At 43.6% G+C, this 13,446-nt stretch overlaps 1 protein-coding gene and 1 long non-coding RNA gene across 5 annotated transcripts in view, besides 3 other annotated features; one reads left to right on the top strand and one right to left on the bottom strand.

Annotated features, from left to right (window-relative positions):
• Positions 1-5,318: 5,318 nt before the first annotated feature.
• Positions 5,319-10,980, bottom strand: UBQLN1-AS1 (UBQLN1 antisense RNA 1). 2 transcript variants are annotated; one of them, NR_135839.1, is made up of 2 exons: positions 10,503-10,980; positions 5,319-6,317 (listed from the first exon to the last, which is right to left on the bottom strand). It is a non-coding gene; the product is annotated as a UBQLN1 antisense RNA 1 (long non-coding RNA). The 2 variants fall into 2 exon arrangements; NR_135840.1 differs by lacking the exon at positions 10,503-10,980 and adding an exon at positions 10,362-10,484.
• Positions 10,055-10,943: an enhancer, noted in NCBI's record as "NANOG-H3K27ac-H3K4me1 hESC enhancer chr9:86322787-86323675 (GRCh37/hg19 assembly coordinates)". NCBI's record gives its function as "activates a minimal SCP1, AML or CMV promoter by ChIP-STARR-seq in naive H9 embryonic stem cells {active_cell/tissue: H9 hESC(naive)}" and the evidence as "EXISTENCE:reporter gene assay evidence [ECO:0000049][PMID:30033119]".
• Positions 10,857-13,446, top strand: part of UBQLN1 (ubiquilin 1) — a 47,991-nt gene continuing 45,401 nt past the window's right edge. For all 3 annotated transcript variants that reach the window (NM_053067.3, NM_013438.5, XM_005251948.4), the window contains exon 1: positions 10,857-11,315. In NM_053067.3, the coding sequence (NP_444295.1) occupies positions 11,136-11,315 (180 nt within the window). In that variant the 5' untranslated portion in view covers positions 10,857-11,135. The remainder of the gene's footprint in view (positions 11,316-13,446) is intronic.
• Positions 10,944-11,834: an enhancer, noted in NCBI's record as "NANOG-H3K27ac-H3K4me1 hESC enhancer chr9:86321896-86322786 (GRCh37/hg19 assembly coordinates)". NCBI's record gives its function as "activates a minimal SCP1, AML or CMV promoter by ChIP-STARR-seq in naive H9 embryonic stem cells {active_cell/tissue: H9 hESC(naive)}" and the evidence as "EXISTENCE:reporter gene assay evidence [ECO:0000049][PMID:30033119]".
• Positions 11,107-11,176: an enhancer, noted in NCBI's record as "active region_28496". NCBI's record gives its function as "activates an Ori minimal core promoter by ATAC-STARR-seq in GM12878 lymphoblastoid cells {active_cell/tissue: GM12878}" and the evidence as "EXISTENCE:reporter gene assay evidence [ECO:0000049][PMID:35858748]".

Genomic DNA, 13,446 nt, shown 5'->3' with positions numbered 1-13,446 from the left:
CTCCCAACCTCAAGTGATCCATCTGCCTCATGAATTTCTTATGTAGAAGTCAGCCAGTAACTTGCCTTGTCTTAAAAACACCTTACAGGCTGGGCGCGGTGGCTCACGCCTGTAATCCCAGCACTTTGGGAGGCTGAGGCAGACAGATCACTTGAGGTCGGGAGTTCCAGACCAGCCTGGCCAACATGGTGAAACCCAATCTCTACTAAAAATACAAAAATTCACAGGGCGTGATGGCATGCACCTGTAGCACCAGCTACTCAGGAGGCTGAGGCAGGAGAATCACTTGAACCTAAGAGGTGGAGGTTGCAGTGAGCCGAGATTGCATTGCTGCACTCCAGCCTGGGTGACAGATTAAGACTCAGTCTCAAAACCAAACCAAACCCCAAAACACCTTACAGTGACTTACACTGTAGGGGTGGTCATAAGAAATCTTCAAGTGTTTAAGGAAACACCATCAGTAGATAACTGGGAGAACTATGCAAATGAGGCTACTCTAGATTACTCAGAGGATTTTCTCAGAGGGATAGCTGACTTGTCATGTATATATGCACCTGCGCCAGTTATTCCTACAATGTGAGCCCGCCAATTAAAAGAATGAAACAAAATTTTTCCTAACTTTAGCTGAAATGATCAGTGATATCATATTGGCTCTGGAAGGGATTCAAATCCACCTCACTTCACTGCTTAGGGTTGTTGATTGATATAACTGCCCTAGATTTCCTTCTTGCAGGCCATGATGAAATATGTGTAAATGCTAATACATCTTGCTGTACTTGGATATATTCCTTGGGCCAAGTGGAAAAAATCAATTCATAAACAATGCCAAGGAGGCAGCCGAAGTAGACCCTAAAGCTTTATAAGATTTGTTCAGCCGATTGTGCCTGGAACCCTGGAAAACATGGTTATTAATATTGCAGGTTGGCCTTATCTTGCTACCAGTAGTCTTGTTGACAATAGCCTTATTAATGCTGTATGAAACAAATTGAATAGATTTGGTCTCAGCCTCTGGTGAAGATTCATCAGAGTGACTTAACAGTGTGGCATACTCATGGGAAAGTTTGCCAGAAGTCAAGAAAGTACAGAAACAAGGGGTGGATGTTGAGAGACAATTCTCTATAGGTCTTCCATGATTCTGCACATCTGGTGAATAGAGGCACTGCCTGGCTATAGTGGATAGAACAATGGCTGCCCAGAAATGTCCACATTTTAATCTGCAGAATCTTTGAGACTGGGCACAGTGGCACAGGCCTATTATCCTAGCACTTTAGAAGGCTGAGGTCGGAGGATCACTTGAGCCCAGGATTTTGAGACCATCCTGTGAAACACAGGGAGAACGCATCTCTACAAAAAAAAAAAAAAAAAATTAGGCATGGTGGTGTGTACCTGTAATCCCAGCTACTGGGGAGGCTGAGGTGGGAGGACTGCTTGAGCCCAGGAGGTTAGGCTGCAGTGAGCTGTGATCGTGCCATTGCACTCCAGCCTGGGTGACTGAGTGAGATCTTATCTCTTAAAAAAAGAAAAAGAAAAAAATAACCTGGCTGGGCGCGGTGGCTCACGCCTGTAATCCTAGCACTTTGGGAGGCCAAGGCAGGCACATCACGAGGTCAGGAGATTGAGACCATCCTGGCTAATATGGTGAAACCCCGTCTCTACTAAAAATACAAAAATTAGCCAGGCGTGGTGGCGGGCACCTATACTCCCAGCTACTCGGGAGGCTGAGGCAGGAGAATGGCGTGAACCCGGGAGGCAGAGCTTGCAGTGAGCCGAGATCGTGCCACTGCACTCCAGCCTGGGTGACAGAGTGAGACTCCGTCTCAAAAAAAAAAAAAAAAAAAAAAGAAAAGAAAAAAAGAAAAAAAGAACCTTTGAAAATATGTTACCTTACATGCAAAAGTGACTCTGCAGGATGCAATTAAGAATATTAAGATGGGGAGAGAATCTTGGATTATCTGAGTGGGTCCAACATCATCACAAAGATCCTTATGAAGGAAAGAGGGAGGCAGAGAGTCAGAAGAGATATGACAATGAAAGTAGAGGTTGGAGTGATGTGGCCACAAGTCAAGGAATGTGGGCAGCCTCTAGAAACTGGAAAAGGCAATCGATTCTCCCTTACAGCTTCCAGAAGAAACACAGACTTTGATTTTAGCCTTTTCAGATCAATTTTGGACTCCTGATCCCCAGAACTATAAGTTAATAAATATCTGTTGTTTTAAGCCACTAAGTTCATGGTAATTTGTTACAACAGCAATAGCAAACTAATATATTGTGTTTCTTCTGGACAATTGTCTTTTTTTTTTTTTTTTTTTTGAGATAGGGTCTTGTCTGTGGCCCAGGCTGGAGTGCAGTGGCACAGTCACAGCTCACTGCAGCCTCAACCTCTGGGTGCAAACAATCCTCCCATCTCAGCCTCCTGAGTAGCTGGGACAACAGGTGGGTGCCACCATGCCTGGCTAACTTTTGCATTTTATGTAGAGATGGGGTTTTGCCACATTGCCCAGGCTAGTCTTGGTCTCCTGAGCTCAAGCAGTCTGCCCGCTTCCGCCTCCCAAAGTGCTGGGATTATAGGTGTGAGCCACCAAACCTGGCCTGGACTATTTTTCCAAGGGTATTTCTATAGTGAACAGTCTTAGAAGATAAAGTATCTTCCTACAAAGCAAAGGGAAGTCATGCTTACTGCCCATTATAAAAGATTTGGGTTCCCCATGTTTGGATTTCCTCTCTTATCATGCAAACCACTGTGTGTACAGGTGTCACCTAGCTCTCTTTGTATCACCTTGTGGAAATTAGGGCTTGGGTAACTGGTGCAAGAAAATGCTGACATGGCAGCCACTGATACTGCTGTGAGTAACAAAGACCTTTGTTTCTCATGTAGGAGTCTTGTGTTTACAGTTTGAAACTGATAGCTTGTAAGTGGGGACTCAGATCCTTCACAGTTATTTGACATATTATAGAACTTGGATAAGCCACAGGTTCTGCCTTGACCTTTCAACTCATTGACCATTCTCAAATGGGAAAAAAGGCTGTAAGAATTATTCAAGTGCAATGAATGACGGGAAGACAATACTTTCTTCTTTAAACACCTCTCAGCTTCCAGAAGCATTATATTTTCCCCCCAGAAGCATTAGTATCCTCTGGAATTCTTGGATGATTGGCATCATACTACAGATTTTGAAAATTCCTAACCTTCTTTTCTGTGTCCTCAGTAATCACCTAAAATTTCCCCATGGCTCATTTGCTTAGTTTATACATGACGGCAGACTCTTCACATAAGCTAACCTCCTAAGGTCAAGAAACACATTCCAAGTATGTTTGTTTTGAATACATTTGTCCACTGAAATCACCAGGCTTAGAGTTTTACACACAAAATAAGACCAAACCTGAGTCTACTTATCAAAATATATATCCTTCTATTCATATGTTTCCAGGAGAACCAGTCTTAACACTTCTGCAAGATAGTCAATGCTTGCCTTAGGGACTGTGTCTTAGGTTATGAGCAGTAACTTGTTTGTAAGAGAGGTCAAAGGAGAATAGTCTTCAAATATTTTCAGGCATTTTCATAAGACCTGAGTAAATTCAAGACTCTTGATAAGGGATGAGTAGGTGAGATGCAGTAACTGAGATTAAGTTTATAATGGAATCCTGGCAAGACTTACCATCTACTGGGAAAAATTCGCAGTGAAGTTTATCTTGAGTATTCTAATAGACTCAGAATTAAAAAGACTTTGACGTGAAATATCATTTTTGATACTTGATAACATTTGCTACTCCACTTTGTAAGAGGGGAAATAAGAGGAAAGATGCAGATGGTAAAGAGGATTCCACTAGCTCTCTGTACAGCAGTGGTTCTCAACCAGGAGCAATTTTGCCTCCAATGTGACATCTGGCACAGTCTAGAGACATTTTCTATTGTCATGACAGGGGTAGGGTGGGACTGCTACTGACATCTAGTGAGTAAGGATTCTGCTAAACATCCTACAATGCACAGAAAAGCCCCCCACAAGATAAAATGATCTGACCCCAAATGTCAACAGTATCAAGGTTGAAAAACCCTGTAATACAGGAAGGATTAAAAATAGACTGGTGATAGAATAATTCTGTATCTTGACTGCAGTGATGGTAACATAAATTTATGTATGGAATTTTGCATACAGCTACATGCATACAGACACACACATGCAAATGAATGCAGGTTAAAAATATGGTACAACCAGTAAGGTCTGTAGTCTAGTTAACATGTCAATTTCCTAATTTTGATATTATGCAACAATATCAAATGCCACCACTGGGGGAAGCAAGGGTACACAGGACTCTATTTTTGCAACTTCCTATAATTACTTCAAAATAAAAAGCGAAAAAACGAATAGAGCCCCAGCCATGTTCTCCAAAGAGGCTGCTATGTCTCCTTACCTTGTGCCGCTGCCAGCCCCCTTTGCTTCTGTGTGTTATGCAGTGCTTGGTACAGCACCAAGAAAACTATGGGATCCTACTTAGCAACTTTTATCCAAAGTTTGTAGTGGCCGTACATATATTAGGTTGGTACAAAAGTAACTGCAGTTTTGTCATTAAAATATGGCAAAAACTGCAGTTACTTTTGCACCAACCTAATAGTTGCTCCTTCTACCCAGTGTCTAAAGTTTTAGTTGGCAAATTAATAAGCACCCATCTTTACCACCACCTCTTCTCCAGCCCGAAGACTCAGAAACAACTGGAACACTTCATTCCCTTTGATTTTGAAGTAGCCCTAGAGATATTTATGAAGTGTTCCAATTGTTCCTAGGCTATGGACCCAATTTGAGACTGGTGTTCTAGGAGAGTTTCTATTCCCCATTATGAACTCTTTCTCAAGACATCGTCCCTCTCAACATGCTTAAAATCATATCCATTCCTTAAGGGCTGGCTCAAAATCATTTCTTTCAAAAGCCTCTGACTTTTCCACCTTCCCCTGCCCCAGTGTTTTATTTCTTTGAACTTCTATTGTAAAGCAAATAAGTTCTAAGGCATGTATGTATACATCTATCTTTCTTTGAATTAATCAATCATCTATTTATGTCACTATACTATAAACTTCAGGAAAGACAAAGGAGTATAAAATATGATCTACTGCTCTAAAGGAGTTTCCTCTCTGGTGGAAAACAGGATGGTTCAATAATTCATTTCAACAATAAATGCTCTCATGCCAAGAAATCACACTGGGCACTGTGTGGTATTAGCTTGGTGCAAAAGTAATTGTGGTTTTGGACTGTGAATTTTAAATCATTATAACTAGGCTCAAATGCATCTTATTAATCAAAATAGGAACCATTACAATCAACACATTTTTGCCAACGAGAAATAAGTTTGTTTATTCCTGTAGCATAAAAATCCATGCTTTGTGATTCAGCGAACTATTGGAAAGCATGTTCTGCATCCTGCTGGTTGTGGAAGCGTTTTCCCTGCAAAAAGTTGTCAAGATGCTTGAAGAAGTGGTAGTCGGTTGGCGAGAGGTCAGGTGAATATGGAGGATGAGGCAAAACTTCGTAGCCCAATTCGTTCAATTTCCCAAGTGCTGGTTGTGCAATGTGTGGTTGGGCACTGTCGTGGAGAAGAATTGGGCCCTTTCTGTTGACCAATGCCAGCGGCAGGTGTTGTAGTTTTTGGTGCATCTCATCGATTTACTGAGCATATTTCTCAGATGTAAGGGTTTCGCCAGGATTCAGAAAGTTGTAGTGGATCAGACCAGCAGCAGACCACCAAACAGTGACCATGACCTTATTCTGGTGCAAGTTTGGCTTTGGGAAATGCTTTGGAGCTTCCTGGTCCAACCACTGAGCTGGCTGTCACTGGCTGTCGTATAAAATCCACTTTTCATGGCACATCACAATCTGATCGAGAAATGGTTCACTGTTGTTGCGTAGAATAAGAGAAGATGACACTTCAAAACGACAATTTTTTTGTTTTTCGCTTAGTTCACAAGGCACCCACTTACCAAGCTTTTTCACCTTTCCAATTTGCTTCAAATGCCGAACGACTGTAGAATGGTCAATGTTGAGTTCTTCAGCAACTTCAGGTGTAGTTATAAGAGGATCAGCTTCGATGATTGCTCTCAATTGGTCACTGTCAACTTCCGATGGCTGGCCACTATGCTCCTCATCTTCAAGGCTCTCCTCTCCTTTGTGAAACTTCTTGAACCACCACTGCACTGTGCGTTCATTAGCAGTTCCTGGGCCAAATGTGTTGCTGATGTTGTGAGTTGTCTCCGCTGCTTTATGACCCATTTTGAACTTGAATAAGAAAATTGCTCGAATTTGCTTTTTGTCTAACATCATTTCCATAGTCTAAAATAAATATAAAACAAACAGCAATGTCATTAGCAAAAAAAAAAAAAAAAGAAATGCACATTAAAATGATGTATAACATAACCACATTTATTTAAGAATGTATTCCAATATCAAATGACAAATTCCAACAGTGCAAAAACCACAATTACTTTTGTACCGACCAGCAGTTCCCCAACCTTTTTGGCACCAGGGACCGGTTTTGTGGAAGACAATTTTTCCATGGACTGGGGGTCAGGGGGAGATGGTTTTGGGATGAAACTCTTCCATCTCAGATCATCAGGCATTAGATTCTCTTAAGGAGCACACAACCTAGATCCCTCACATGCCCAGTTCACAATAGTGATCACTCTCCTAACAGAATCTAATGCCGCTGCTGCTGCTGATCTGATGGGAGGTGGAGCTCAGGCAGTAATGCTTGCTTGCCTGTCACTCACCACCTCCTGCTGTGTAGCCCAGTTCCTAACAGGCCACAGACTGGTACTGGTCCATGGCCCAGGGGTTGGGGACCTCTGGTATAAATGATGATTAAGACTTGATCCCTGTTTTCAAGGCCTTTATCTAATAAATGAGATATGCACAGACATATGATACAAGACAGAATGTGGTAAGTGACATCAAAAAGTAATAAAGCTATATGGGAATACAGAGGATTTAAAGACTATTTCGGATCCAAAAAGGGTTATTAGGGAATGTCACATTTGAGTCTTGCGGGATGGGTAAAATGATGGGGTCAAAATAAGGGGGAAGAATTTCTACTTGCAGTTGAAGCTGGAAAGTGCAAGACATGCTTGGAGAGCTTAGCTGACCAGTTTGGTTGAGGATAAGATATGAGTGAAGAGCAAGGTCTTTGGTTTACAGAAGACCCTGGACACCATGCCACAAAGTTTAGACATTACTCTTAACACTTTGGTGACAGTGACTGGAAATTTTCAAGCAGGTGTCATAATCAAAGCTTCGTTCTAGGATAACATATGGCATCACAGGAAAATAAGAGTTGAGGATGGAGACTTTAGATTGAGGCAGAGGAATCTGTAGGAGGTTATTGCTGTAATCTAGGCCAGAGCTCATGAGGGTGTAAACTAGACTGGTAGCAGGAGAAAGTTTCAGATAATAGAAGCTGTGCTACAAGTGATGAATGGTCAAGTGAAATGTGCAGGTAATTATGACGGAAGGTCAGATTCTGTAAGCTTGGGTATTCAAGGAGTTTCAGAAAGCAGGTAGCAATAATGGGTACAAGGAGGTGGGTGTAATGACTTGAAGGAATGATCAGAAGTTAAGAAAAGTATAATGTATAAGTGCTTCTAGGGATGATAATAAAGGTATTTGACTGGAATGGAGCATATATATTGAGAGCAACAGGAGTCAACACTAGGAGTTACCTGTGGAAGGCCTAGTTAGGAAGCTCTGGGCTGGGCGCAGTGGCTCACACCTGTAATCCCAGCACTTTGGGAGGCTGAGGTGGGTGGATCACCTGAGGTCAGGAGTTTGAGACCAGCCTGGCCAACATGGTCAAACTCTGTTTCTACTAAAAATACAAAAATTAGCTGGGCGTGGTGGTGCATGCCTGTAATCCCAGCTACTCAGGAGGCTGAGGCAGGAGAATCGCTTGAACCCAGGAGGCGGAGGTTGCAGTAGGCCGAGATCATGCCATTACCCTCCAGCCTGGGCGACAGAAAAAAACTGTCTCCAAAAAAAATAAAAAGCTTTGGCTTTATTTTCTAGGCAGTGGGAAACTTATGATAGATTTTTCAGTAGCCTAGTAACATGATGAAGTCATGTTATTTATAGCACTTACATGACATATGTACTACCTCGTATTAAAGGTATGTTCCTGGACACAAGATTAGAGGATTAAAGTTTGTCAGAGGATACTCAATGAATTCTTATTGAGTTGACTGAATCATTTTGTCAAAAAAGAATTATTCTATCGTGAATAATAACCTTCTATCAATATACTTGAACTCTGAATAATGGATTTTCTCAAAATGGGACTTCTTCAGTTGGAGCTGGCTCATACTGGCTTGTGAGGGCTTACTGGTAAAATTTCACGTGTTTTGTGAGGCAGAGGATCTCAAGTTGGTAACCATTTGCAAGTATTTACATCAAGGAAATTGGCAAATGTAATAAAGTTTATTTTCAGGAGGACTGGTTATTAGTCATTTACCAGGACATCACTGCCAGTCTCCCTCCTATCCCTCACCCCCATCATCCAACTATCACTTCAAGTTTTTTGACGGCAGAAACTGAGTCTTATTATTCTTGTATGCTCAATATAGTATTATACAGTATTAGGATACTGTGATAAAATATGTTCTTAAAATTTTCTCCAGACAGACCATTTAACAAACAAAAACCATTCAGAAGAAAATGCCACAAATAAACATCTAGACCTGGGGTTGGCAAACTATCTTCTGTAGGCCAAATCAGATCCTATGTCTGTTTTTGTTTTGCAAGTAGAGTTTTTAGTAAACATAGCTATGATTATTCATGTATGTATTGTCTATGATTACTCTGTGATACAAGGGCATAGCTTAGTGTTTTAGACCGAGATCCTGTGGCTCACAAAGCCTAAAATATTAGGTTGATGCATAAATAATTGCGGTTTTTGCAAATTTTTTTTTTTGGCACCAACCAAATATTTACTATCTAGCCCTCCCAGAAAGTTCACTAATCTCTGATTTACACCATAGTGCCCCCACCTCCGATTCTCATGCAGGTCAGGATTATATCTAAAAAGTGCCATAACAATGGATAACTATATGGTATCTTCTTACAGGTAAATCTTATTACCTTATAGTGTCACACACATCAAACATTTTTAGACAATAATGTAGACACAGATAATTGCAAAGTCCATAAATGCAGGGAGACAGACACACACACACACACACACACACACACACACACGGTATTTGTTGGAGAATCAAGGGAAAAACCATATCTCTAAATGGTAGGGAGTGAAGTCTTCCTGGGGCATGTGATACAGGATGAGTAGAAGTTAGACAGGTGAAGGCAAGGGGAAAGTCATTCTAGGTAGAGGAAGGCAGCCTAGGCAAAGCATGCAGGTAAGACACAGCATGACAGGGAAAAACAGGTAATGAGGAGCTAATGAAGTTGAGGAGAAATTTTATTTAGACATATGGAAGAAATTCCAAATGATTGGTTGTCCAGTTGTGGCACTTTCTAGCTTTAGAAGCAGTGATCATCTCACACCTGGACATAACCAAGTAGTCATCCTTCATTAAGCAGAAGGCCTTGTTATTGAGCCATGCTGCCAGAAATTTAGGTGATATCAAATGATGTCTATACTGAAATCGATACCCTCAGGATTCTCTTAGACCCAGATTCCATAGAGCTCTGCTAAAAAGTCGTGTTTATGTAACAGTATTTATTCTCAGAACAGGGTTGGACGGCTTAGGAGCAGAAAGGCAGAATGTATCTTTGCGGATTTGGGTCATAGTGGGCTGTCAGGATTTAAATTGTGCAACATTGATTAATAATGGGCTGGTTTGTACATTCCTTGCAAGTCATCTTTAAAAGCCAATGACGTCATTTCAAATTAGGATTCTCAGAGATAATTTCTCTCTGTATTACACTGAAAATAATTTTGGAACTATCCTTAATGCCACTTAAAGCCTGAAATTGACCAGTAACTTAATTTGATAGAATATAAGGCGAACACCTCAACTATATTAAATTGTCCCATTTGGGTGGACACTCCTCGGGCACCCTGTTCCGCCCTACACACAGATAATCTGGGGGCGCTCGCGCACAGCTGTCATCGTAGCAGCAGAGGCCACTGTCAATACAGGTTGCCTGACTGATCGTCTGACCAAACCGGGCTAACCCGAGGGCGGTAAATAAGCTCTGGCCATGAAGCAATGACTCCGCAGGATTGCGCAGGGCAGTCACGGGCGTTCACTCCATTTTCTGTTCGTTGTGCTGAGGCCTTTCCACCATTAACTTACCCCAACTCCCCCGCATAGGGCAATACGACCCCTCCAAATATCAAACGCTAAGCATATTAAAATAACAAAATACCTCGCCGCTATTTTATCACCAGACCCTCCTCCCAGCGGGGAACGCAGAGTAGACAGAGAGGCAAGGGAGGGCAAGGCGATTGTGACAGCGCGGAGGGGTGAACACGGCCCAGCTGGGCATGAGGTAAGGTGGGGAGACTACCTGGACAGCAAGCGCGCAGGCGCAGCCGCGGCCGCAGGGCCCACTGGTCCCTTTCTAGTAATTTCGCTAACCGTGACGTCATCTCGGTGCGCCGTTACAGCGCTTAACTGGAAACTGCGATTTAGTTTTTGGTGAAAGGAGTGGAAAAAAACCATGAACTGACCTACCCCGCCCCATTTTGCTTTTAGTCCTTCACACTGGCTTCGCCTGCACTTTGGGCAATGGAGCGGGAAAGGAAAAGGCACGCAGGCTGAGCTCAAAGTCGCGCCAGCCGGGGATGACTCGGCGACGCCGCCAGGCGCGTTACCCGGCGTGCTCCGCGCGGCGCCGGCGAAGGGACGTGGGGGAAGGGGCAGGGAGGAGGAAGCGGTGGCTGCTGCGGATGTCGGTGTGAGCGAGCGGCGCCTGAACACACGGCGGCTGCCGAGCGCCTGACCCGGGCCTGCGCCAGAGCCTGCACCGAGCTCCGGGGCCCCACACCCGCTACGGTGGCCCTGCGCCCGTTGCTACTGAGGCGGCGTGCTCTGCATTCTTCGCTGTCCAGGCCTGCCGGCTCTGGTGTCTGCTGGCTCCTCCTTGCTCGCCTGCTCCCTCCTGCTTGCCTGAGTCACCGCCGCCGCCGCCGCCACAGCCATGGCCGAGAGTGGTGAAAGCGGCGGTCCTCCGGGCTCCCAGGATAGCGCCGCCGGAGCCGAAGGTGCTGGCGCCCCCGCGGCCGCTGCCTCCGCGGAGCCCAAAATCATGAAAGTCACCGTGAAGACCCCGAAGGAAAAGGAGGAATTCGCCGTGCCCGAGAATAGCTCCGTCCAGCAGGTGAGGCCGCCTGGGGCTCGGGCCGGGATGGGGGTGGCGGCAGGACCTCCGCCCGCCGCCCCAGGAGACCTTTTGGAAGGGCCTGGGAGAGGGGTCGTCCTCGGCCATTCTCCCGGGCGTCGTCCCAAATTAGATCACACCCAAGTTCGTGGGTTTGCGCCTTGGGACACCGCAATGGTTTGTGGCGTGGCGGCGCGGCCTGTTTGTGGGACGGGCTGATGCCGCTTTTCTCGGAGCCTTCCTTCTCTGGTATCCGCCGACCCTCAGCCTCCTCCCCCAGTTCCCCGCCCTCCGTCGCCTCCCCTCCAACTCCTCACAAAGGAAAGGGACCCACCGCCAGCCTCCGGGCGGGGTGGAGGCTGGGCGGGGGCGAGGGTTCGCTTTAGCTCAGGCTGCGGTTTTGTTTCATGAATTAAAAAGGGGTGGGTGGGATCCTCGTTGTTTTACGTGCCTGCTTGTTAAGGTGGGTTTTGGGGTGAGGTGCATGTGTATATTTAGTTCTGCATTTTAACTCCTGAAATCTTTCCCACCTTGCAACCTTTAAAAAAAAATTATGACGTAGAAACTGTTTTTAGCTCCATCTTAAGTAATAGTGATAGTACTAGGTTTAAGGAGAAAAGTGAATGACTTTCTTTCACTGATGACTTGCTCTTTCCCTTTTAGTATGTTTATCATCTCTTAGATGCCAATCATTGGGTAGGTTTTTGTTTGATTTTAGAGGGGCGATAGCGATGTTGATATTAGCGGTTGCAATCAAATAAAAGAAAATCGGAGTGAATGCAGAATATTACTTAAACTTGGTTCAGGAATACAAATCTTGCAGTTAATTAAGATTCTTGGTGGAATTTAACAAATAATTTTAGTGTATTGTTGAATACGTCGTGTTTTCCATAATTACTGACTTAATCTCTGAAGATCGCAAACAACGTGAACAGTTGGTGACAGGAAACAACAATTCCTGAAATGTACCTATCAGTTTCCCCAGGGACAGTAGGTGATTGGGGTATTGGTTTAACGAGTTCCAAAGGTAGTGTATTTTGTGAAGCAGTGAGGTGTGTAACATCAAATGAGAGAAACTTTTACCACCAACAGAATTATCACTTTTGTTTTTGTCTCCCAGTGCTTGTAAAAATTTTCCTTACCATTTTTGTATTTTCAAGCATGCGGAAAGTTGAAAGAATTGGGAAGTGGATACACATATGTCCATCATCTACAATTAGCATTTTACGGTATTATAATCGATTATCAAGTTCATTTAATTTTGGGGAGCAATTCAGAGTAAGTTGCACGTATCAGTAGATGACACCAGTACATGTCACTTCAGCATTGTGAACTTATTTGCCTAAGTTCAACTTCATTTTTTACGTTTTTTTGACGTAATTTTGGCAGCAGTGAAATGCATATGGTTGCCATTCCGTGAGTTTTCATAAATGCTTACACCTGTGTAGCCCAAGCTCTTATCAAGATATAGAACATTATAATTGACTAGAAAGTTTTTTCTTGCCTTTTCCCAGTCATTTCAGTCACTTGGCCTTTCCATCAACCACCCAGTTTTTTTTTTTTATGCCCTAAGTTACAGAGTTGCCTGTTTTAGAACTTAACATTAAATGGGATCCCATAGAGCCTATAGTACTGTGTGTATTTTTCTGGGTAAGGCTTTTTTTTCCCACTCAGCATAATGTTTTTGAGTTTCGTCTTTGTTGCGTGTATCAGTAGTTCCTTTCTTTTTATTAGTGTGTAGTTTTCCACTGTATGTGTATACCATAATTAATCTATTCACTGTTGAAGGTCACCTGGGCTGTTTGCAGTTAGTTACTATGAACAGTCTTATACAAGTCTTTTTGTGGTCTTACTCTTTTATCTTTCATGGTTATATACTTAGACTTGGTTTGAGTAGGTCATAGGGCAATTGTATGTTTCAGTTTTGTGAGAAACTATGTTTTAAAAAATGCTTCTGGGCCGGATGCGGTGGCTCACACCTGTAATCCCAGCACTTTGTGAGGCCGAGGCGGGTGGATTGCCTGAGGTTCGAGACCAGCCTGGCCAACGGGGTGAAACCCCGTCTCTACTAAAAATACAAAACTTAGCTGGGCGTGGTGGCAGGCACCTGTAATCCCAGCTACTGGGGAGG

This window comes from Homo sapiens, chromosome 9 (genome assembly GCF_000001405.40).
Source record: "Homo sapiens chromosome 9, GRCh38.p14 Primary Assembly".
Classification (NCBI taxonomy): Eukaryota; Metazoa; Chordata; class Mammalia; order Primates; family Hominidae; genus Homo; species Homo sapiens.
This window is presented reverse-complemented; position numbering and strand designations above follow the sequence as displayed.